The sequence below is a fragment of the Homo sapiens genome, chromosome 9 (assembly GCF_000001405.40).
Source record: "Homo sapiens chromosome 9, GRCh38.p14 Primary Assembly".
Lineage (NCBI taxonomy): Eukaryota > Metazoa > Chordata > Mammalia > Primates > Hominidae > Homo > Homo sapiens.
Genome location: NC_000009.12, coordinates 17,773,902 through 17,797,772, shown reverse-complemented (window position 1 = coordinate 17,797,772; position 23,871 = coordinate 17,773,902). Strand labels below are relative to the sequence as shown.

Sequence of the window (23,871 nt, the reverse complement as noted above, 5' to 3'; positions counted from 1 at the left end):
ATCTCGGCTTACTGCAACCTCTGCCTCCCAGGTTCAAGTGATTCTCGTGCCTCAGTCTTCTGAGTAGCTGAGACTACAGGCATGCACCACCATGCCCAGCTGATTTTTGTATTTTTAGCAGAGACGAGATTTTTCCATGTTGGCCAGGCTGGTCTCGAACTCCTGACCTCAGTTGATCCACCTGCACTGGCCTCTCAAAGTGCTGGGATTACAGGTGTGAGCCACTGCACCTGGCCTAATAGTGACTTTCGATCAAACTATTTTTCCATGTCTATTTCTTTATCTTCAATTACGAAAGAAAATAAGAGGCTACTCGAAGGGATATATTTTATTTCCCCTTCCTAACATTATATTCTTCAGATGATACCACTTTTAACAATATATCATTTAACATCTATGAGACCTAATTCTCCTTACTTTCTTCTCTCCCAAATTCTCCTCCTTCCTGGGGTTACCAGGAAGGTCCCAATGTCCAGGCTAGCTACTTCCTTGCTGCTGAAACTTTTCCTATGTGTAAAGAGGTAGATATGAAGTTGGAGCCAGGTCTTGTTTGGCTGCATGAGAAAGCAATGGAGACTGAAACCAGCCCCCATCCACCCAGTGTTAGACCCAAAGAACTGACACAAAATGAAGGAGCAGAGCCTTTGGTTCTGTCTTCAGCAATATTTATTGGAAACAGCGATGCTTCCTGTGGTGAGAGTTTATACATTAAGCAGTAAGATTTGCCTTTCACTCCACATGATCCACTACTGCAGGTGGCACATCGGAAGCAGCACGTTAAACCTCTGAAAGAGTCTGTACAGCTAGATAAATAGAACTCTGCATACCTAACAGGACTTTCATGACTGATACAAATAAAAAAACACACTGATAAGCTTACACACAGCACTGTACACACAAAATGAAGACGATGGATAGAAAGGGCAGAAGTAAAAGTAGCGACTGAATTGGGAAAGAGTTTTGCATATGCAGCCATATACCTTAAACTGCTAAGCACAAAAATCATCTTTATTTGGTCCTCATTGAGGGCAGAATCTGCACAAATGATGTTCAAAGAACACAGGGTAAAAGTGGAAAGGAAAGGTATTTACTGTTTCTCAGTATATGAACTAGTGGAAAGATGGTTACTAGTGTTTTCTTCCTTGTGTCTCTGTGCCAAATGGATTCATGAAACATGTAATTCACAAATAAAACTGAAGTGAAGATATTTGTTCCCCCTTCCCTGTGCCCTTCAGAAATAGCCTAAATACATACATAGTTTCTGTATAGCAAGAAATTTAAGCTTGGATACCAGATTTCTTCCCAATTCCTCATAATGGAGAATTTCTTTTCAGTCCCTCTCACAATAATGCTGATTAACTGTCTTACTGAAAAATAATTTGGAATTACCGCTCTGGCTTTAATAGCAAGGAGGGAAGAAAACTGGCTATACGTCAGAAATAGCCATAAGTGTGAGGAGCTGAGATGCCTATTTGCAGAGAATGCTTTGAACCCACAATTAACACTTTTCTATGGATGCATTAAGAGACAAATTCATTCAGATCAGGAGACAATTTGCTGGTGAGGGAAGGCTTACTTTGACAATTCCATGACTCACATATTTGGGAAGGGACAGTGTGAAAGCAAAAGCTTTCTCCTCTTTGCATGGAGAAATGCAAAGAGACCTTCAGATGGCCCCTGGGGTGATAGACAATATCTTCGGTGGGATGGTTTTTCTGTGAAATGGCTCATGGTCATATTCTAAGAAACCACAGCCTCCTGAGAACTGTGTAAACAGCAGTTCTGTGACTACTGGCTGGTCTCAGATGATGTTTTAAAAAGCACATGCCACGCCCACCAGGCTAAGAGGATATCATCCATCACCATGACTCCTGTGGGAGCCCACAAGTCAACCAAAGTCACTTGGTGGGGCTGGATGACGTGGACCACTGCGGCCTGCACTTGGGATGTGTTATAAGCAGCATTGCCAAAGCAGTGGTTAACCGTAACTATCTGGGTCAAGAGGAGGCGAGCCAGCCAGCATAACATCCTAATGGGGCAGGGCAACCAGAATTTCCACATAATTGATGGGGAAGAAGCCTGAATGGCCATGCAGCATCCCCTCATACCAGTTCTCATCAATTTGGTTAGTGAGTGTGATGATATCGCCCTCTTTAAATCCCAACTCCCCTTCATTTTCAGGTTCAAAGTCGTACAGAGCTCGGCAGCAGGGCTGATCCATTTGGACACCTGGGAGTAAGAGCAGGAGAGAAGAGAAGAACACAAAAGGATAAGGGGTATTTAACTCACAGAATCTGCTGCCTGCTGTACCCACCTGGCTTGCTGCTCCCCGTCTTTCCTCCCTCATTCCTCTTCCTGTTGAAGCTTCTTCTTGCTACTGGACCTTAGTGTCCACTGCACTGGGCATCTTGCCCTCTACCAATCCTCAGAAGCTTTCTCGGACCTTTGGAAGTTGCTGCATATTCCTGTTTCTGTTTCCAGTATGAAAAACAGTCACATCTATTCTTGTGATACATACAACACAGTTCATTATAGTTTGCCTTCGTGATAATGCCCAGAAATAGGAGGGACAATGACTTAAGAAGAATATAATGATGTAGGTTAATAACACAGCATGGCAAGAATTCTCTCATCTGAGCACTTTAAAACCTTTGCATATCTGAAAAAGTATGGTGAATTACATGGAGAATGCTTTTAAGTAACAGTTCGGTTATCACTCTTTAAAATGATAACCCCAGCCTCTGGAAAACTGCTGTAATGTGGTGAAAACGGAATAATATAAAACACTGAGTTCAAGTTTTTACTTTCTGTGACCTTGCACATGGTACTTCGCTCTCAGTTTCACTGTCTGAAATTGGATGTAACAGTAGGACTTACTTCACATTACTACTGTGGCTACTAAATGAGATTATGTAAAAAATTTTGTAATTTATACTTGGTAAGGTAAACTGTTGCATACATAAATATATGCAGTGCACTGGAGCTATGGCATACAAAAATAATGTACTCCACCTTGAGTAAAATAATGAAGGATGAAATCATATCTTAAGAGGGATCTATTCCAAATGACCCGCTGTATTAATACTACATACATACACATGTAGATACAGACTCAGACAAGTGCACACAGTTCCCATGCCATCTAGGTGGCTGGAAAGGAAACAATGTAATTTATTTTTTTATTTAGAGAAAGAAGCAAATTACTGAGTCTCCAGATGAAAAGTGAAATATATGGTTGGTTTTCAGACAGGGAGAAGCATAGCTATACACAATTTCTGTGACTAGTCCTGGTGGCCAGCTCCAGGAGCCACAGCTGCTTATGTCATGCCCTGAAGTGCTGAGCGCAAAGGACAGAGAGCACCACCTGCCGGCTCAGACCTCGCTTTTTTTCTTAATAAGTCTCCTGAGAGCATCTTATAAAAAGTTTTCTACAGTAGAACATCAAGCACTGGGGATACAGGAAAAATAAAAGAAAGCTACCTATCTCTAACATCCACATCCAGTATAAGACAGTTCCCACTTCAAACAAGCAAATGTGGAGGTTGAAAATGTCTCCAGCACAGGCTGTTGTGTAATCTGCGTGTAGGAGTGGAGAGCAAGTGTGACAAGGTAAAGAATGCTCTATTTGGTATGCATCGATATTCCTGAGATAAAATGTCATCTAGCTTTTATTATATCAACCCCAGTGCCACAGCATGATAAAGTGATCAGAGGTGAGGCATGGGAAGGAAAACCCAGCAAGTGTCGAGTTTCAAAATATCATCTTCTACAAATATATTTAACCATATGCTTCTGTGACTCAAGAAATCCAGCTCATCAGCACATTTCTGGAGCCGCTTGCTGTCTGTGGGTTATATGCGAATGCATGTGGGGACACACTGTCCAGGGGCATTCACTGTCATACAGGCTGGATTCAGAGCGAACACGCAGGAGAAAAGATGACACTCGCAGACCAAACTGACAAGGAAAGGCGATTTACGACCACAAAGGAGGGTCAAAACAAAATGTGTTCGTGTGTGCTGATGATTGACAGAGAAAATGGGATATACAAAGAAAGTTTTATAGAGAAGAATGAGAAGGAAGGAAAGAAAAGGTAAATGAAAAAAAGACAAAAGGATTCCTTTAACAGAGTTTCTACCTGACAACTGACTCCATAAGAAATGTATTACTGCATATTTCCTATGCAGCCAGATTGGACTATTCCTAAAATTTCTGGAAGAGTGCCAATGGATATGCCAAGGGCTATGCAATAGGATCTGCAGTTTCAGCTCTTACCTGAAGGTTTGGGAGTGCCTGTGTGGGAGAGACCCCCATTGGGCTGAGTACTGTCTCCAGTTGGAAACTCCAGGCTCATTCGTGGTTTAGGTTGATATTCCCTTCTAGGCTGAGATGAAGCCTGTCTTATTCTGCAGTAAAAAGAAAAGTGGTGGAAAGGTTATGTAACCAGTTAAGAAGTAAAATGAAAAGCAAATATAAAGATTCAGGAAATGCTTGGGTCACCCACCATGCTACCATGATGAAGTGTGGGAAATCAAAAAAGGACCCTTAGTTTTCTTGTATGTATATGTCTGAGATTTTGGTGATGTCCCTTTATGGGGCCATGTCCTCACTGTCTTCATTCTCTCTCTCAATCCCTCACTTCCTCTCTCATTTATTCAGAGTCCTTTATCCAAATACGCACTGTGCTAGGTACCAGGAACACAAAAATGAATTAAAACACAGTTCTTGTACACAAAGGATAAATGCTTGAGGGGATGCATACCCCATTCTCCATGATATGATTATTATGCATTGCATGCCTCTATCAAAACACCTCATGTATCTCATAAATATATACACCTATGTACCCACAATTTTTTCAATTTTAAAAAAGACACAAACAGATTATGGTCTGTAAGGGAGACAGAACACAAACAACTGATTACTATAAATTTTAGTAAGCACTGTCAGAGATATCTACAAAGTGCCACAGGAACACAGGGGTGTGGTTGTGGGTGAAGGTGGGAAGGAGTCTATCTCTCCATAAGGAAGCTGGAGGAGGTTTAAGGAGAGAACTAAAAGATACACAGGAGCTGTTTCCAGATGAAAATGTGAAAGGGAGCTATTCTATTCAGAACATGAGAAGGTTTGGACAGAGGGAAGGAGGAAATATACTGTGTGCTCTTAGAAGAATGAGCAGTTTGAAATATAGGGAGGAGGAAAGGAAAGAGGGAAGACAAAAGGAAATTGGAAAGGTATGGCTAATAATTGTCTTCTACATACCCCTAAATATTTTCCAAAGTTTCAGTTATTCAATAAACAAAGTATGTAAGAGATATGCAAGGGAGGGCGAGGGTTTAGGGTATGGTAACTGTAGAATGATACTGACTTTGAACATATTTCAGAGGAAAAAAAGGAAAGGGCTCCCTTCATGCTCAAGAGACATTACAAAGACACATAGTATTTCTTTAGTATCTTTGAAGTATATGGTTTTAAAACCTTTCTGGAGGCTTCAGCATTACATAAATTTCCATAAGGCTGCGCCGAAGGAAAATGCTCAATTAAACCATGAATCAAAGAAAATACTGAAATGAGATCAGCCTGAGGGAAAACAACGAAAACAGGTGTGGAATCGTATGATTGGTGTCTTCTTCACGCAGGCAGCCATGTGATCAGCTGTGAGAGTCTAATCTGGCCATGTGGCCTAAGAAAAAAGCTTGCTGAGGTGACCCTTTGAGGTATACATGTTCAGCAAAATCATCCTGTTTAATCTGGCTAAATTAAAATAACACATATTATAACATAGGGCCACTGGTATATAGCCAAACAGGCTGTGCCCCACAACTCCACGGAGCCACATTCACACGGTAGTTTCCTACTACTACAGCCCTGCTGTGAGGTACATCTAATGAGGTGAAAGTAGCTCTCTCTGATGGCAGAGGACTTGACCGCCATTCAGAGAAACACAAGATGTGAAAAGAAACAGCCTCTCACACAGGTTATGGCTGGCTGTGAACTCCACTTGCACCACTGAGTGACCCTGGGCTAGTTACTTCACCTCTCTTAGCCTCAGTTTACTCATCTGTTAGTCGAGGCTAAAAACACTTAGGTTACAGGGCTGTTATAAGATTGATGATGATATGTATCCAGTACCCACATGGAATAACTGCTCAGCAAATGGCATCCATTATCAGCAGTAGCATCCTGGTGTTCCACCTGTGGCAGCCAAAATATAATCCAAGTATCGATCTCTCATAAGCAGAAAATTAGATTCAACAGAACAACGTAAAACAAAGCACAAGAAAAAACAAAATCAAAACAATCCACAAGGCGCCTCTGTAGGATAAGCGGAATTTTGGCAGACGTTTGTCTCCAAATGTATTCTATGATTTCCATTTCTTTATACATCATTTTATAGCAATAAAATGCAAATGTGAAATGCAGGGAACTGTAGAATACCTTTCTTCCAGTCTGACCGTGACTTGCTGCAGGATCTGGACTGCCTGCTTGTGGTACTCCAGCTGAGCTTGCACAAGTGCAGAGAGCTGGCTCACTTGTTCAATCTGCAGATTGATGGGAAAATCATGCCTTAGTTTTACACGTTACCATCCCTAAACAGCCACTACTGTTTCATACATACACCAGGGCTGCCCTCAACACACAGCCCCTGGTTGGTGGTGCTGATGACTGTGTGATAAGCCAACTAAGATAGATAGTTCTGCAGGTTTCAAATCCATCAAGGATAAAAGAAAGCATCCTTATGCTTAGAATCATGCGTATCAGTACCATGAGGAGAAGCAACATGGGTAACCCTCAGGAAGACCATATAGCTCTAAAGAGTCTCATGCTTAGCTACAATCTTGTATCTGGGATTTGACTTCTTTTATTCTATAGAAAAGAAGGTACACTGGCCAAAGGACTCTTTGTTCCTTATACTTTTCATGCTGTTAATATCGGTACTGTTAATAAAAATGTGACAATATCTCACATAATGTACCCGGAGAGGCGACATGGTATGACAGAAAATCTTCTGTGCTCTCTGAGCCTCATCTGTAATGTAAAAGGGTTAAATCAAGTGACATCTTGAGTTCATTCTTGCTCTAATATTCTAAGCTTGATTTCTCTTGATTTTATGTTTCACATTATGATCCAGCTGGGTAGCAGCCTCCAAGTCAACAGAAGCAGTGTTGTCCCATGAATTTGGGGATGGGGAGGGGTGCTGTGTTGCAGGGAAGGAGCACTGTGATTTGGAGCACCCCTCATGCACACAGTATTCCTCTCGAGGAGTTAGGTGGACACAAGTTGTTTTACATAAACAAAAACCTACACTGTCTCCAGGTGGTAGGAAAGTCTGGATATGTTCAACACACTTCCCCTGCCACAGTCAGGAGTAAGGCAAGTAGGCAATGTGATGGTTAATTTTAGGTGACAACTTGACTAGATTAAGGGATCCCCAGATAGCTGGTAAAGCATTATTTCTGGGTGTGTCTGTTAGGGTGTTTCCAGAGGAGACTGGCATTCACTTAGTAGACTAAACAAAGGAAGAGCTGCCCTTCCCTATGGGGGTGGAGACCACCCACTCAGCTCAGGACCCAGATAGAATAAAAAGCAGAGGAAAGGCAAGTTTGTTCTCTCTCTCTTCTAGCGAAGGGACACCCATACGCTCCTGTCTTTGGATGTCACAGCTCTAGGCTTTCTGGCCTTTGGACTCTGGGACTTGCACCAGTACTACTGATGCCCCCTGCTCCACAACTGAGTTCTCAGGCCTCTATTGAGTTATACATAGATCCTCAGAAATATCCTTTATCTTCCCACTATTGATAAGAGAGATGGTCCCTGACTTTACGATTTGTAGGCTTTATGATGGTGCAAAATTGATATGTGCTCAGTAGAAACCATACCTCAAGTACCCTTACAACCATTCTGTTTTTTACTTTTAATGCGTTATTCGATAAATTACATGATATATTCAAGACTTTAACCCCATCATAAGTTAAGGAGCATCTGTACTTTAAGATTCATTAGCAGTCGAGAATCTAGTTAAACTACAGGAATGCAGAAGAAACTTTTCTATTTCTCAGTCTACTTTATGACTGACAATTATTTAAAATAAATAACTATCTACTGAAGTTCTTATCACATAGTGTAATCAGATATTAATGCTTTTAAGGGTTATGGCCTTTAACATATTAATGTTGTGCCTCGATGATAAGATTAAATTGAAAACCACAGGAGTCACTTACATCCATCTCCAAGAGATTGAACATGCTTGACTCAGCAATTTCCTTAGACTCATCAAATTTCTCTAGAGCTTGACGAAGCTCTTCATCCGGAATCTTGCCTTGTCGTTTCTTCTTATAATCAAAATCCAGGCGTCGACCCTCCAACTTCTTTAGATGATGCTGCAAAAGTCAAGGGCAGGAATAGGCTTTGAAAGGGCTTATGGAAAAGGCTTATTTGAGCTCACTTCTCCATCACGTCCATTAACTTCCAAATTAAGATAGGCTAAGTTTTAAAATACAACGCCACCAGAGAAATAAAGAAACATGCATCAATGGGGCCAGTGCTTTCAAAGGCTAAATATGGGGGAATATCTTTAAAAATAATTAAGAATAAAAGATAAATTATAGGAAATATCAGTGCCCTTTATTTTCTGGCCTTGTCAGGCCAAAGCCAAGCTGGACTAAGCCTTTGCAGCCCATGACAGAAACAGAGAAGGAATGCACATGCCCTACACACAATGAAAGGACACACTCACAGGCCCCACAGGCCCTGTCTTCAAGAGAAATGGTATCTCATGAGAAGCCAGAGGAAAAACTCTTTCCTTGAAATTAAGTGAGATAGAAATGGCAGTCTTGCTTTTCAAATCATCCAGTCTGTTAGAATCACGTAAGTTGCTCATCACAATATGGATTCCTGAGCTCTTGAATCGATATCTAGGGTGGGGGCCTAGGAATCTACATCTTAACACTTGCCCCAGCTGACTGATGCAGCTGTCACCAGAGAAACTAAATCCAGTGATTTAGTTTAAGCCTCCCACTTGACATATAATTGAACTCAAGAACAAAATCTCACTTGGAAGGGACCTACCAAGGGATTATATCTAATGCTCCATGCTGAGCTTCAATCCCCTCCTTGCACCATACCTGGTAGATGGCTGCCCAGGCTCCACCCATCATCTCTAGTGACCAGGTAGCAAAGTAGTTTTCCAAAGCTAAAAAGTATTGTTTTTCCCCGATAGCTAGTCTTTCACTACTAATGGATGAAGGAAAATCCTGGATTTTCCCTTGTTACTAGTATGTATGGAGCAGAATGAAAGGAAATGAAAACAAAGTAGGGAGTAGTTAAAAAAATGAAAAGGAAAGGAGGAAGAATAATATTCTAAACCTTCCCTCACACTGCATCCCCCGCCCCTCAGTCCATGCCCTGATCCAAAAACTAAATGCTCATTTGGAAGGAACTTTCTTTTTTAAACATTTGAGCTATAGGGTACAGCATTGGAGTCAGAGTTCTATTTTGGATTTAGGGTCAGTCTGTCACTTACTAACTCTATAATCTTGAGCAAATGGTACTGCTAAAGGAGATTTAAGCTAGAATAAGGAGGAGGAGGCCCTAGTTCAAGTTATGGCAATCCATTTTACACCCAACAAAGTTTCAAAAAAGCTCAACAAATATTTGTTAGATAAAAAAAAGTGAGCAAACATTCCACACTCAAAGACATATGAACTTTATTATAAACAGCTCAACTGCTCTACATGTTTTAGAAAGTGGCTAGTTGGTATTCTTCCTCAATCCTAACAACCATTATGAAAATATTAATATAAAAACACATAACATCCATCTAATTTCTAGACTTGGAAAAAAATAAAAATATGTGCTTATGCAGTGATAGAATAACTATTTATTTAAGCTAACAACTAGTACAACTAACATTTTAGTGGGTGAAATCAGCCCAGCAAACCATAGAATAATTAACAAAACTGTGTATTCTCAGGAAAAGTATATTATCCTCTGGAGAAAAAGTCTGAAAAAAACTATTCAATATGAAAATCAAACATAGAGAAGCCAGAGACAGCCCTCATGAGTGGCACAGTCATAACAGGCTGAAAAGTATCACATTTCTGGTTTCTCTCATTTTGTCTTACTGGGTTGTTTTGTAATTAACGTGCCCAGAGCTGACAACACACAGGGTAAGCTAAAAAAATGTTTTCTAAAGAAAAAAGGCATCTGCATCTGTATGATTTCAACTGCCCACTTTCCAGAAGACTCATTGTACATACTTGAATTTCCCTAAGATCTTTGTCATGAAGATTCTGAAGAGGGTCAATGAAGTTCTGCTTCACTTCTATGTCCAAAGAGTCTTTGACCTCCGACAGTTCCCGCATGGCCTCCCCGACCTCACCAAGTGCTGGGCCTAGGAGAGAATAAAGCTCTTTCATGTTACAGAATAAAGATGAAATGCACTCGCAATAACAGGGCCCTTCACAGATGAAAACCCAAAGGATTACCACTTGTCTTCTAAAGACAACAGACAAGAGAGAATAGGTATCTTCAGTTCACTCCAGGCAACAGACTCAATGCCCCCTAAGAGGGTAAATACCTCTCATCAAGAATGGAACAGTTACTTTTTCCTTTAAGAAGCAATTTAGGAAGCTCCCTGCCCTCTCTTGTAAGTACCAGCTTTCCCTAATGTGGGACTAGCTTAAGGCAAATCTATTAGCAGAAGCAAGTACCAGAAATAGCCGGGTTCAACCAGGAAGGAGATCCCACATCACAAGGGGGTGAAAATAGAAGATGTTGGGTGTGGTAGCTGAGTTTTGGGGGAGACAGGGTGAAGGAATAAATCATGTCTCACCTTGGGCAGTAGAACTAGGTACCATATACAAGTGAGCAAAGATCTATGAAAAAGGCCATGAGGCAGGGAGGGCTTTGAATCATGCTGACTGTGCCTGCTCACTCTGCTTCAATACTCAATGACTGCCAGAAACACCCAATAGAAAGTGCCAAGGAGGCATCTGGATATGTCAACCAAAGCTGTTGTAAAGACTGAGGTCTTATAGTGGGGGGGGTGGGAAGAAAACTTGTAAGATAAATCACATTAGAGCGGATGAAATAATTCTGAAAACAAATTTTTGGCCCATGTGTGTAGGATCTAAAACTGAAAACCAAAATATAAAATGATTTGACCGATTCCCTACAGAATTTCTTACCAGCACCAAAATCCCCATGGACAAATGAAAGAATTACAATGTGAGGAAGCACTTGTTACCAAAGTTGCAATCATCTCCAAGCTCTCTTCCAAATTTGAGCATGGCCTCTGCCAGCAGCGCCTCTGCCTGAGGATAGCCTGGCCCCTTCTCCTGGCCACGGATTTTTGACATGGTGTTGATCATGCTGAGCTTAGCTCTGGAAGCTGAAGGTGAAGAGAGAACAAGCTTTCAGAGTAGGCAATGTGACACTGCGGAAATAGGGCTGGATGGAGGATCAGGTCTCAGAGCAGCCTACAAAGTAGCTCAGCTACTGATAAGTGTACCTTCAGTACGCTCCAGTGTTCTCTCCGTCAGTCAGTCTTATCAACCACTTTTTTAAAGCACTAAACTCTCCCTTTCCCTTAAGATCTTAAAATGAATTACAGCAATTCTGTTCTGGATGAAGCAGGATTACACGCTCAAATTCTATCACTGTGTGCCCTTCCCCATCCTCCCTTCACTGTGGTGGCCCCTGCAGTGACTCTGTGGAGCTGGGTGCTTCCATGGAGAGCTTTTTACAAACTCTCGAATTATGTGATGATCTCTAAATTTTATTCTAGTTTTATAGTTCAATTCTAGGAGTCTAAGGATTAAAATAAGGAACCAATGGTAAATTCCTGCAGAGTGGGCCTTATGCCTTGTTTCACTTATACCATGTATGAAACAGAACTATTTTCAAAATCATTTCTCAACTAAGATTCTGATGGTAAACAGACCCATGAAGAGCAAAAATACTGTGTTCATTTAAAAGACTTAATCACTTCTCCAGCACATAACTAGAGAAAATTAGTTTTGTGCCTCAAAGAGAACATTTCAATTTCTCTTTCTTTGTTTTTGTTTTTATAAAAGAAGTTGCCTAGAAACCAATTCCAGTGTTAGTGGCAAAAACAGCTTTATTAAAAAAATTGTTAAAGCCTATGACTTAATTGATGCTAGGATACCTAGGTTCCTCAGGTTCAAAATTAGAGTTGGGATTACACATTAACCTAGGACTATACCCCAAATCCCATCTTCAATGGAAACCCCAGATAGAATCACAGCTTAAGGTACTTCCAGCATTCAGTGGCTGACAATCTTGACATTTATTTCACAAGGCTTTTATTTAAACTTTGAGTCTTAGAGGCATTGAATAGAGATGAGAAAAGTTATCAGGAGAGCACATCCTGCAACCCTGTCCCAGGGATATTACAATGAGCACGACAATTATGGTCCCTGCTTTCACAAAGTTTATAATGAACTGAGGGTAGAGTCTATTTTAAAATTAATTAGAGTGAAGTAAATATGCCAAGTGCCTTGATGGGGGATTGAGGAGAGTCCCAGATATGCGGCACTGTCCTCATCAGTTGGGGAGGGGCATCGCAAAGGATTCCTGGAGGGAAGTATCTTTAAGTTTAGATCCAAACAGTATGTAGCAGTTAGGCTAACAGCACATGTAAAGGCTGGTGGTGACTGGAAAAAATATAAAATTCATTTCTTATTTGCTTTTTCATATAAAAGGGATCATATGTTAAGTTTGAAAAATAGAAAATGCAGGCTAAGTGTGGTGGCTTATGCCTATAATCCCAGCACCTTTGGTGCCCAAAGCAGGAGGATCATTTGAGGCCAGGAGTTTGAGACCAGCAAGGCAACATAGCAAGACCCCATTTCTACAGAAAAATTTAAAAGTTAGCAGGGCATGGTGGTGCCCACCTGTAGTCTCAATTACTAGGGAAGCTGACGTGGAAAGATTGCTCAAGGCCAGGAGTTTGAGGCGGTAGTGAGCTATGATGGTGCCACTCCACTCTGGGTGACACAGCAAGAGCCTGTCTCTTTTTTAAAAAGAGAAAATGCCACAGAATCATTTTTAAGGGAACAATATCATTATTTTCTGCAGTGAGTCATATCTGAGATCCAGGAAGGACACAGTCCCAGCCCTCAAGGTGCTCACAATATAGTGAGGAGTAAGATAAACAGTGGCAACAAGTATGATAAATATTATCATGGCTGATATCATGGTACTAGGGGGACACTGAAGAATGACAGCACGAATAAAATGAAAACAGTGCAAATAAAATAAACAACACCTAAAACACACAGAATGAATAGAAGGAAAGGAGAAACAGAGTAATGAAACCACACATGAGTTAATCCCTACAAATCCTATTCAGGCCATTTTACATTTAAGGATGCATTCCTTTTATAAAAGCTGGATGTGGTAAGTGCTTATATCTTGGCTCTATTAAGGGCTGTCTCCAGGTAAGTAATTCTAAACAGTTTAATACACTGTGGCTGATTTTCAAACACATCATTTTGAATGTTGTTCAATTATGAAGAGCTTTATTCTTTTACTAAGAGTATCTTGGATATGTTCTATATTTTCATAAGAAGGAGGAAGAAAGCCATTTTCTACTAGCTTATCTACTTCAAATGATTAAAAAAAGCCTACTAATTCACATATCTGAAGAGACTAGCTTTTAAGTTCATTCACAAATTTATTACATATTAAGAATCTTGGGTTAATGAAACTTCTGTGTTATTAAAAATATCATCAGACCTCCAAATTAACCATCTTTAAATGTTAACATAATTATCTTTAAATGATTGTTTGAAGCAGTACTTTAAGAAACTGAGAGTGAGCCTGGAAAATACAAATTTAAAGCACTCAAATTCCTATTATATACTCTCAACCTGGATTGCTTTACCAAGTTGTATGTGCCCTTAGAGATCTGTGTCCCTTCTCTTCTAAACATACCTAACTCCTCTCCTTCAAACCCATGAATCTACTTCTAGGTGATTCCCAGAAGGAAATGTATTGGGTGAATTAAAACAGCAGGAAGCAAAATTAGGATGACCATAAAAGGCTGACCTATTCCCAAAAGGGCTCCACTGTTTTGTCCTCTGCTAAAATGAGTAGTTTCTTTTTTGACCTTAAAATTTATGCTGTCTTTTAAGGAAGACAAATGGGGGCAGTTGAGGCTCAGTCTTAACTCCCAACTCTAAAGCATAATCTGTAGCATCCCTGACGAGCTTTCTAATTCTGGGAACAGCCAAAGGGAGATCTAAGCTCTGCTGAGAATAAAATGGAAGCTCTGCTAGCCCTGCCTGAGTTATTTTCCTCTGACCTAAAAGCAGTGTCCATGTGAGTCACTGCCTGGTCTGTCCTACAGCTACTTATCTAGTGTGGCAACTAGCTGAGGATGCTGTAAACTCAGTACTTCTGCTAAATCTTAGTTTTTATTTCCTAATCCAAACAAACAAACAGGAAAACCACTAGGTCTTGCTTTCCATGGAAAACAGCAGAGTCCATTAAAATGAACATTAGCTTTGAGCACATACAGACATAGCTAAAAATCCAGGCTATAAATCTTGCTAGTTAGCTGTGAATCCCTGAGAAATCTCTCATTTGTAAGACTGTTATCAGTGTTCAATGATAAACAGCAAAAACCAGCACAGACAACACAACAGGCACTGGATACTGGGGAAAATATTCTTTCTTTCCTCCTTCCAGGCTCCCCTGTCTGTGTGTGTGTTCTGGAATGCTCTACTGACAACTTGGTTGCACAGAGAACTGCACTGCCCAGAGTCCCTTCCTTGCGTGTTTCCATGGACAAAAATCAGAATTGGTCCAAAGTGAGGTTGCGCAAGATTTGGGAGGTGAAGTTGAAGCAGCAGCCCTAATACTATGAAGGCTGGCGTGCGTTAGAGAGGGTGACAGAAAGATGCAGAGGTGCCTGTGGCTTCCAGTTTTTCCTTGCTCTTCCCCACTGTGTACTGAATTACTTCATTTAAACATTTTAATTTTTTATAAAATGCTTCTGTATACATCATTTTTTCAAACCCTTAGGTAAAGCTTTCCTGTTCAGAAGTACCATGACCGCCCACTGTGCTTTGGAATGGCACTAGAGGCTGCTGATACAATCTGATCACACCACTCACTCTGTGGTCTCATAGGATGGTTTGAGAGCAGGTCTCCTTGGCACCAGGCCTGCTTTTCCTTCACACTAATTAAATGTTAAGGATTCCAAGGCTACCACTGAGTCTTTTCATTTCTCCTGACTCCATTTCGTAAAGTACAGAAGAGTACAGTTCCACTTCTCAGGTAGGCTAAAAAGCTATATGGTTTACCATCATTCACTCCAATCTTCCCTTAGGAATCTGGCTCTTTGGAAGCACTTCCTTCTTAAATTATGCCATGAAAATCTGCTCTATGTGAGGATGACAAAAAGTGATCACGTGCTCTCACAGAATCAGAAAAAAGGCTCTTATTTTCCCCGAAAAAGAGAGTTCCCAAGCTAAATCATGAGTCCTACACCAAATCACGAGTCCCACACCAAGGAGTTTAAAAAAGATTAAATTGATTAAAATCAATAAGGAGGTTACACTGGAAACAATTATGCATTCCCTATACAGAAGAAATGTGAAGTTTCACTGCCTGGTTGAATATAGTCATTTACCAAAAATCTATTTTTAAAAGATTTTCTCTGTGATAAAGTGAGCAAAAGAAATATTCATGAAGCACCTATAATGTGCAAGTGCTATGTCTAGGGGGACTCTGAAAGAAGTGAGGTGCAGCCTCTGCTCTTAAAAAGCTTATTATCCAGGTGGAGAGTCAGAGTGCTCACTCACTGCTGTGAGGCAGAGTGTGGGTGAGGCTGTAATGTATTAATATTTACACTGCAGAAGACACAGTAACAAATTCCACCTGAAAGAGTAAGGCTGGGAAGGCTAATGAACAGATGATGCTCGAGCTGGGCTTTCTGAAAGAGTGAACCGTAAAGGGAGAGACCTGGGAAAGGCCATTCTAGGTACCTGGAGAATCTGAGTAAAGTATACAAAACAGAGATAGATCAAGTGTTCAGAGTTTGGAACAACCAGAACTCTCAAATACTGCTGGTAGGAGGATAAATTGGTAGAAAATTCTGGACAACAATTTGGTAGTGTTTACTAAAGCTGAATAGACACATACCCTGCAACCCAGTAACTCCACTTCTAGGTGTATATCCATCAGAAATGTGTACATGCATAACAGACATGTACAAAGCAATGGCAACAAAAGCCAAAATTGACAAATGGGATCTAATTAAACTCAAGAGCTTCTGCACAGCAAAAGAAACTACCATCAGAGTGAACAGGCAACCTACAACATGGGAGAAAATTTTCGCAACCTACTCATCTGACAAAGGGCTAATATCCAGAATCTACAATGAACTCAAACAAATTTACAAGAAAAAAACAAACAACCCCATCAAAAAGTGGGCGAAGGACATGAACAGACACTTCTCAAAAGAAGACATTTATGCAGCCAAAAAACACATGAAAAAATGCTCATCATCACTGGCCATCAGAGAAATGCAAATCAAAACCACTATGAGATATCCTCTCACACCAGTTAGAATGGCAATCATTAAAAAGTCAGGAAACAACAGGTGCTGGAGAGGATGTGGAGAAATAGGAACACTTTTACACTGTTGGTGGGACTGTAAACTAGTTGAACCATTGTGGAAGTCAGTGTGGCGATTCCTCAGGGATCTAGAACTAGAAATACCATTTGACCCAGCCATCCCATTACTGGGTATATACCCAAAGGACTATAAATCATGCTGCTATAAAGACACATGCACACGTATGTTTATTGCGGCACTATTCACAATAGCAAAGACTTGGAACCAACCCAAATGTCCAACAATGATAGACTGGATTAAGAAAATGTGGCACATATACACCATGGAATACTATGCAGCCATAAAAAATGATGAGTTCATGTCCTTTGTAGGGACATGGATGAAATTGGAAACCATCATTCTCAGTAAACTATCGCAAGAACAAAAAACCAAACACCGCATATTCTCACTCATAGGTGGGAATTGAACAATGAGATCACATGGACACAGGAAGGGGAATATCACACTCTGGGGACTATGGTGGGGTCGGGGGAGGGGGGAGGGATAGCATTGGGAGATATACCTAATGCTAGATGACACGTTAGTGGGTGCAGCGCACCAGCATGGCACATGTATACATATGTAACTAACCTGCACAATGTGCACATGTACCCTAAAACTTAGAGTATAATAAAAAAAAAATTAAAAAAAAAAACTGTGCTATTCAAAATATCTAGAAAATGCAAACACCTAAATGCTCATCAGTGGAGAAAATGGACAAGTAAACTGTGCTATGTTCTCACAAGGGAATTCTACAGAGCAATGAGAATGAAAGAAGTAGGACAAATAGAAAGATGAACAAAATAAGCCAGATCAAAAGAATACATGTTCTATGATCATATTTCAGTTACAAGACAGATAAAAATGTATAGTATTAAAGGTAAGGGCAGCTAGGATCTGTGGAAGGAGGTTTTGGGATGTTGACAATGTTCAGTTTCTTGAACCATGTACCTTTAAACAGAAGTTTATAATAGTTCATTGAGCAATATACTTATGATATATGTGTTGTACTTTTTGTATGTTACAGATCAATAACAAATTCAGAAATTTCACTCCTAAACATTCTGATGTAATTGGTTTGGCATGTGGTCTGGACACGGCAGTTTTTAAAATCCCAAAGGCGATTCTAATGTGCAGCCAAGGTTGAGAACCACTGTGTTCGTCTCTAGACTGAAAACGTGGGAGGTGATGATACAAATGTGAGATAAAGAACACAGGACAAAGAGAAGATTTTAGAGTGGAAGTGTGTAAGTACTTCAACTGCAGAAACACAAAGTCTAACAATATCCATGTGGTTGTATAGCAGACAACCAAGCAAATCGGTCTTGGGCTCAAAGGATGGTGGTGGGGGGTAAAGAAAACCAACTTATCTGACAACATCTGAAATCTTGAAGGCTAGGCCATTAGATAACAGAAAGAAGCAGAAGATAATTGCCCCCAAATGAAGATGAAACAAAATTCAAGAACAGTTTTCTTCCAGTGGTTTTATATGTGGCAGGTGAGATTAGCTTTTAATTGGTGTCTACTCTAAGCCAGGAGCTTTATACAAACAATTTACCTTAATCTTCACAACTCTGTGGGTTTGGTTCAATTACTCCTATTTGCAGAAAGAGGGATGGGCTGCATCTATAAAGAAAGGATATGGAACCTCAGAGAGCCTGGAAAGCCTATCCGAGCTCTCATAGTTACTAACAGGAAAAGATTGGATTCAGGCTCAGGTCTGAGCCACTCCCAAACCCATTCTCTTTCCCATTCCGTCAAATTTCCTGTGGGACTCAAAGTTTCAGATGGAAACCCCTAAGTCTCCAAAAAACAAAATCCTTGTCTAAAGGCTTTTACTAGTGGTGGTCAACCTGATGCATATCAGAATTACTCAGAAAACATTTTAAAACCATAGATTTAAGGACCCCATCTCTATCTTGATGATTTGGACTATCCAGTGGGTTAGGCCACCAAGCATGTGTCCAAGGGGCCTTGGGGATATAAGCAAGCAAGCCTGGGCCCTGAAGTCCCACCTCTTATCAGGTCTGGCCAATTGTATCACCTCCTTGAGTTGGCAAGCTGATGATTCTCATGTATCTCTGCAGGCTAGCCCTTTACACTGTATTACAGACTAAGGCATTCTAATACCTACTTGACTGTACTAGGATGTGTAGGCCTCTCAAACTTAACATATTCAAACTAAACTCCAGATTTTCCATCATCATCCCAAACCTGCTCCTCCTATAGTACTCTCAATATTAATGAATACAACTCCATTCATTCTTCCACTTGCTCAGGCACTAGACTTCATAGTTATCTTTGATGTCTCTCTTGCCTAATATGCAATTAGTCAGCAAATTCGGTCAGCTCTACATTCAAAACACATCTAGGATCAGACTGTTTCTCACTCTGGTCTAAGCTACTACCATCTACAGCCTGGATTATTAAAATAAGCTCCTGCTGGCCTCCCTGCTTCCACGCTTGCCCCCTATAATCTACTCTCAATAGAAGAGTAAGGACAGTCCTATTTAGTGTAATTTAGATCACATCACTCTTCTCCCCAAAGCACTTTAATGTGTTCCCACGTCATTCAGGGTAGGAATCAAAGTCCCAACAATGGTGACAAGGTCCTATCTGCTCTTGCCTCTCTGACCTCCCCCAGCCAACATGGCACTTTATTGTTCTCATATACATGAGAACTTCCTGGACCCGGTCACTCTCTCCCCCTCTTACTCTTCATTTTAATTCACTGCACTGATCACATCTGACATTAGGTATTATTCTCTATCAGTCTCATCCTTCCAGAGTATAGGCTCCATGAGGGCAGGGGCTTTGCCTGCCTCATTCACTCATACATGCCCAGGGCTCAGAACTGCCTTAGAGTAAACGTGGAAGATAACTGAAAAAAATGAATGGATTTCTTCATCTACAGAATGGAGAAAATCAAAGCTACCTTGCTGGGTTTATTGTGAGGATTACAAATGATGTTTTAGAGTATCCAGCACCGTGCCTGGCACTTATGGAACTATTCAATAAAATGGAGGCTATGACCAGTATGGTAAATTGTGTTATGGAAGTATGTTAACCAAGAGGTATACTGAAATGTATAAATATGGCACTCCCAGATTGTCATGGACAAGAGGAAAGTTCTTAGAGTTGGTGGGTTCGGCTATAAATATCTAGTCTGCCTCTAGTATAAAACTAAAGATAGGGATGAGAGCCCAACCTACGCTAAAGGAATAGAGTTGGTAAGTGATGAATGTAAAAAAGGTAAGAAGACTGCTATTTGTCCTCCCCAAATTCATATGCTGAAACCCCAATACCCAATGTAATTGTATTTTGAGATAGTGCTTTTAGGAAGTAATTAAAGGAAGTCAGGAGGTCAAAGTCCTAATCCAGTAGGATTGGTAACCTTATAAGAGAGGAAGAGAGAGAACAATCTCTCTCCCTCCACACACATGCACCACGAAAAGGTTACATGAGGACATAGTGAGAAGGCGTCTAACTACCAGCCAGGAAGAGAGCCCTCATCAGAAATTAAAACATGGTCAAGCAACTTGATCTTGGACTATATAACCTCCAGAACTGCAAGAAAATAAATTTCTATTATTTATGATATTTTGTTATGGCAGCCTGAGCTGACATAGATCAAATTCTGAGGTTCCGGGGGAAAATGAAATGAATTTGGGAGGGATATCACTCAACCCATATACTTTCTTTTTAAACTTGATTATTTTAACAAACTTTAAATCAAAGTAATTTTTTAAAACTATCTGAATTACTATATTTGTGAGCAAACCAATTATTACATAATTTTCATTTCACATGGATTTCTGAAGCTTTTATCTTTATAAATATTCCACCTGGGTTTACTCTTTTTGAATAAAGTCATCTTAAAAAGTTATGTTTGAAAGAAGCCTCTAAAAATATATACAGTTTATTGACTGCATGGTTATTGAGTCCTTGGGTAACAATATTTTACTGACTAAATGCTTTATTTCCATAAGCACACAAGCATGAGATCAACCAACGAATATGTAATCTAAGATTTTCCGAAATAAAGAAGAGGAAGGTCCCTAACACTCTCCATTCTACAAAGGTCTCCCTGCCTCTGTCTACAGGTATTTACAGAGCATCTGCTTCCTCCCTATCCGTGGGAGCTACTCTTTCTTGGCAGTTCAATCCAGTGGTGTGCTGGAGTTAGGCCAGCACTGCTCAGGGGAGCCAAGTGTGAGCCTCTTTTTCCAAGTCACAGTTCAGTGATGTCACACTGGTAGCTTGAAAATGGCCATGTGAGACACAGAAACTGGCTCATGCTACAAATCAAGGTTTTTCTTCCAGAAAGATGGTTGTTAAGCCTGTAGCAGCACACTGCTGGTTCCTCCCAGCTTGTGGCAAGTTTTATTGCACTTCAATTCTCATCTGTGGTGGCCAGGTAAGTATTATCATACTTCTTGGCTTAAAAAAAAAAAAAGATGGGACATTTTGAAAATGCAAAGTACAAAGAATAACATAACACACTCATATACACATTATTCAGATTTCTCACTGTTAAGTACAATGTTCCTGATAATCTCTCTAAACAAGTATTAATACTTCCTTTATAGCATTTTTGTGTGTGTGTCTCTAAAATAGGACAGACTTGAGGTTGTGAGGTTGTTGAGGTTGTGACAGACATTTGTAGGAAAGCCCCTGAGATTCTTTTTCTGGAAAAGTGTAAAATGTCAGGGGACCAAGCCTCTGAGGGCTAGGCAAAAGCGGTGTTTTCTAAGGGGGTTTAGTCCCAAGGACAGTGATGCCAGAAGATGGAATGCTCCTTTTCCTAGGGAAAAAAACAGGGAGTTTTAATGTCTGCTTTTTTTAAAGTTTCATTTACTACAATTCAAAATCAAGGTTTATCACAAATGAGATTTCTGTCACACTGGAAACCAGCAGACTCTGTGGAACGTACATGCCCAGCACAAACCTCAACAAAGGGTGGGGCTGCAGAGGCACAGGGGTGTGAAAATGAGTGTTCCCTGCTGGAAGAGCAAGGATGAGGGGTGATTCTGCCCTCCGCACCCTATTTTTCTCCCCACCCTAGATGATTATGATGGCAGTATTTTGGGAAAGACCTTTTGTAAATCACTTTTTAAAAATTACAACCTGATTTAAATTGCTGTATTCTCAAGAGTGGCTTCCTTCTTTCACTGTGAAATTTCACATAAAAACATAATGACAGGGCATCTGTCTATCACAACAGGGAAGAAGAGAATCCAACCCCCACCCTTGGTGTGAGTTGATGAACACAGCTGATGCACTTGGGCAGAACAGGTGGCCACAGTACTCCAAGTCACATCTTTATGTTCTGACTGTTGGGGGAAACCTAATGGCTTTAGCATCCATCAGGGAAGACCAAAGACATGAAACATGGTTTCTGAAGTCTTTCACTGCTTTTAGTGACCTAATTCCTTTGTCATCCCTATCTGTCTTATAGAAACCAAGCCTCATTACCCAAAGGAGCAGAGATCTTGAGCAGGACAAATGCCGAATAATTTGTAGTAGTATTCATTAATTGCTACTATCTGGTCCAGAAACTTAGAAAGAGCCCTGAAATACCTGAAAAACTGAAGACCATAACCAGATTTCATCCTATAACTATAATTTCAGAAGTTATCTACTACATATATAATGCGTACACATCATCCAGCCTTGCAAAACACAACAGATGGGTTTTGTTTCTCCATTTTACAGATGGAAAATGAAGTACAGAAAAATGTTAGTTTTTTTCTCTGTTTTCCCACTTTTGGAGAAAATTACAGTTGACGGCTATTTCGTTGAAATGGCAACCAACAGCTAAAAATACACTTGCCCCTTCATCACCTATCAAGAGCCAAGGATGTCTTTAATTGATGGAAAAAATTAAAAGTTTGTTCTTGGAAAAGATCAACAAAATTGACAAACATTTAGCTAGCTGAACTAGAAAAAAACAGAGAGAAAAGACACAAATTACTAAAATCAGAAATAAAAAGTGGGGATATTCATTCTGATCTACACAAGTAAATAAGATTATTAAGAGTACTATGAACAACTGCACAACAATGAACTGTATAACCTAAATGAAATGGACAAACTCTTAGAAACACAAAACCTACCAAGACTAACTCACAAAGAAATAGAAAATCTGAACAGACCTATCATTAGTAAGAAGATTGAATCAGTAATCAAAAATCTCCCAACAAAAACAAGCCTAGGATCTGATGGCTTCACCAGTGACTTCTACCAAATATTTGAAGAACTAACACCAACTCTCCTCAAACTTTTCCAAAAAATTGAAGAAGGAAAATTTCCTGCTCATTCTATGAGGACAGCATTATCTTGATAGCAAAGCCAGACAAAGACACTACAAGACAACTACAGACCAATATCTCTTACGATCATTGTTGTGAAAATTCTCAACAAAATGCTAGCAAAGCAAATTCAACAGCATATTTTAAAAATTATACCCCATGACCAAGTGGTATTTGTTCCTGAAATACAAGCATATGGTTCAATATACAAAAATGGGTCCATCTAATACCTCACATTAACAAAATAGAGTAAAAAAAAAAACCACACACACGATCATCTCAATTGATGCAGGAATAAGTGTTGACTAAGTTCAACACCTTTTCATGATAAAAACAATAAGCTAGGAATAGGAAGAAATTACCTCAACATGGTACAAGTCATATATGAAAACCTCACAATGAACATCATACTAAATGGTGAAAGACTGAAAGCTTTTACTCTAAGATCAGTAACGAGACAATGATGCCCACTGTGACCACATCTATTCAACACAGTACTGAAAGTTCTGGCCAGGGCAATTTGGTAAGAAAAAGGAATCCAAATTGGATGTAAACAAGTAAAATTATCTATTTTCAGATGACATGATCTTACATATAGAAATCTCTAAAGATTTCCCACAAAAAGCTGTCAGAACTAATAAATGAATTCAACAAAGTAGCAGGACACAAAGTCAACACACAAAAATCAGTTGCATTTCTATACACTGACAACGAACAATCTGAAAAGGAAATTAAAAGGTTAATTCCATTTACAATAGTATCAAAAAGAATAAAATACTCAGGAATTAATTTAACCAAGGAGGTAAAAGACTTCAACAATGAAAACTACCAAACACTGCTGAAAGAAATTTTAAAAGACATATATAAATGGAAATACATCCCATGTTCATGAACTCGAAGACTTAATATTAT

The 23,871-nt window shown here is 39.9% G+C and overlaps 1 protein-coding gene across 3 annotated transcripts in view; it reads right to left on the bottom strand.

Moving 5' to 3' along the window:
* Positions 1 to 648: 648 nt before the first annotated feature.
* The window catches only part of SH3GL2 (SH3 domain containing GRB2 like 2, endophilin A1), a 218,059-nt gene continuing 194,836 nt past the window's right edge, over positions 649 to 23,871 (bottom strand). For all 3 annotated transcript variants that reach the window (NM_003026.5, XM_047423730.1, XM_011518005.4), the window contains exons 4-9: positions 11,249 to 11,392; positions 10,260 to 10,393; positions 8,223 to 8,381; positions 6,439 to 6,542; positions 4,276 to 4,406; positions 649 to 2,229 (exon numbers count right to left, since the gene is read on the bottom strand). In NM_003026.5, the coding sequence (NP_003017.1) occupies positions 2,030 to 2,229; positions 4,276 to 4,406; positions 6,439 to 6,542; positions 8,223 to 8,381; positions 10,260 to 10,393; positions 11,249 to 11,392 (872 nt within the window). In that variant the 3' untranslated portion in view covers positions 649 to 2,029. The remainder of the gene's footprint in view (positions 2,230 to 4,275; positions 4,407 to 6,438; positions 6,543 to 8,222; positions 8,382 to 10,259; positions 10,394 to 11,248; positions 11,393 to 23,871) is intronic.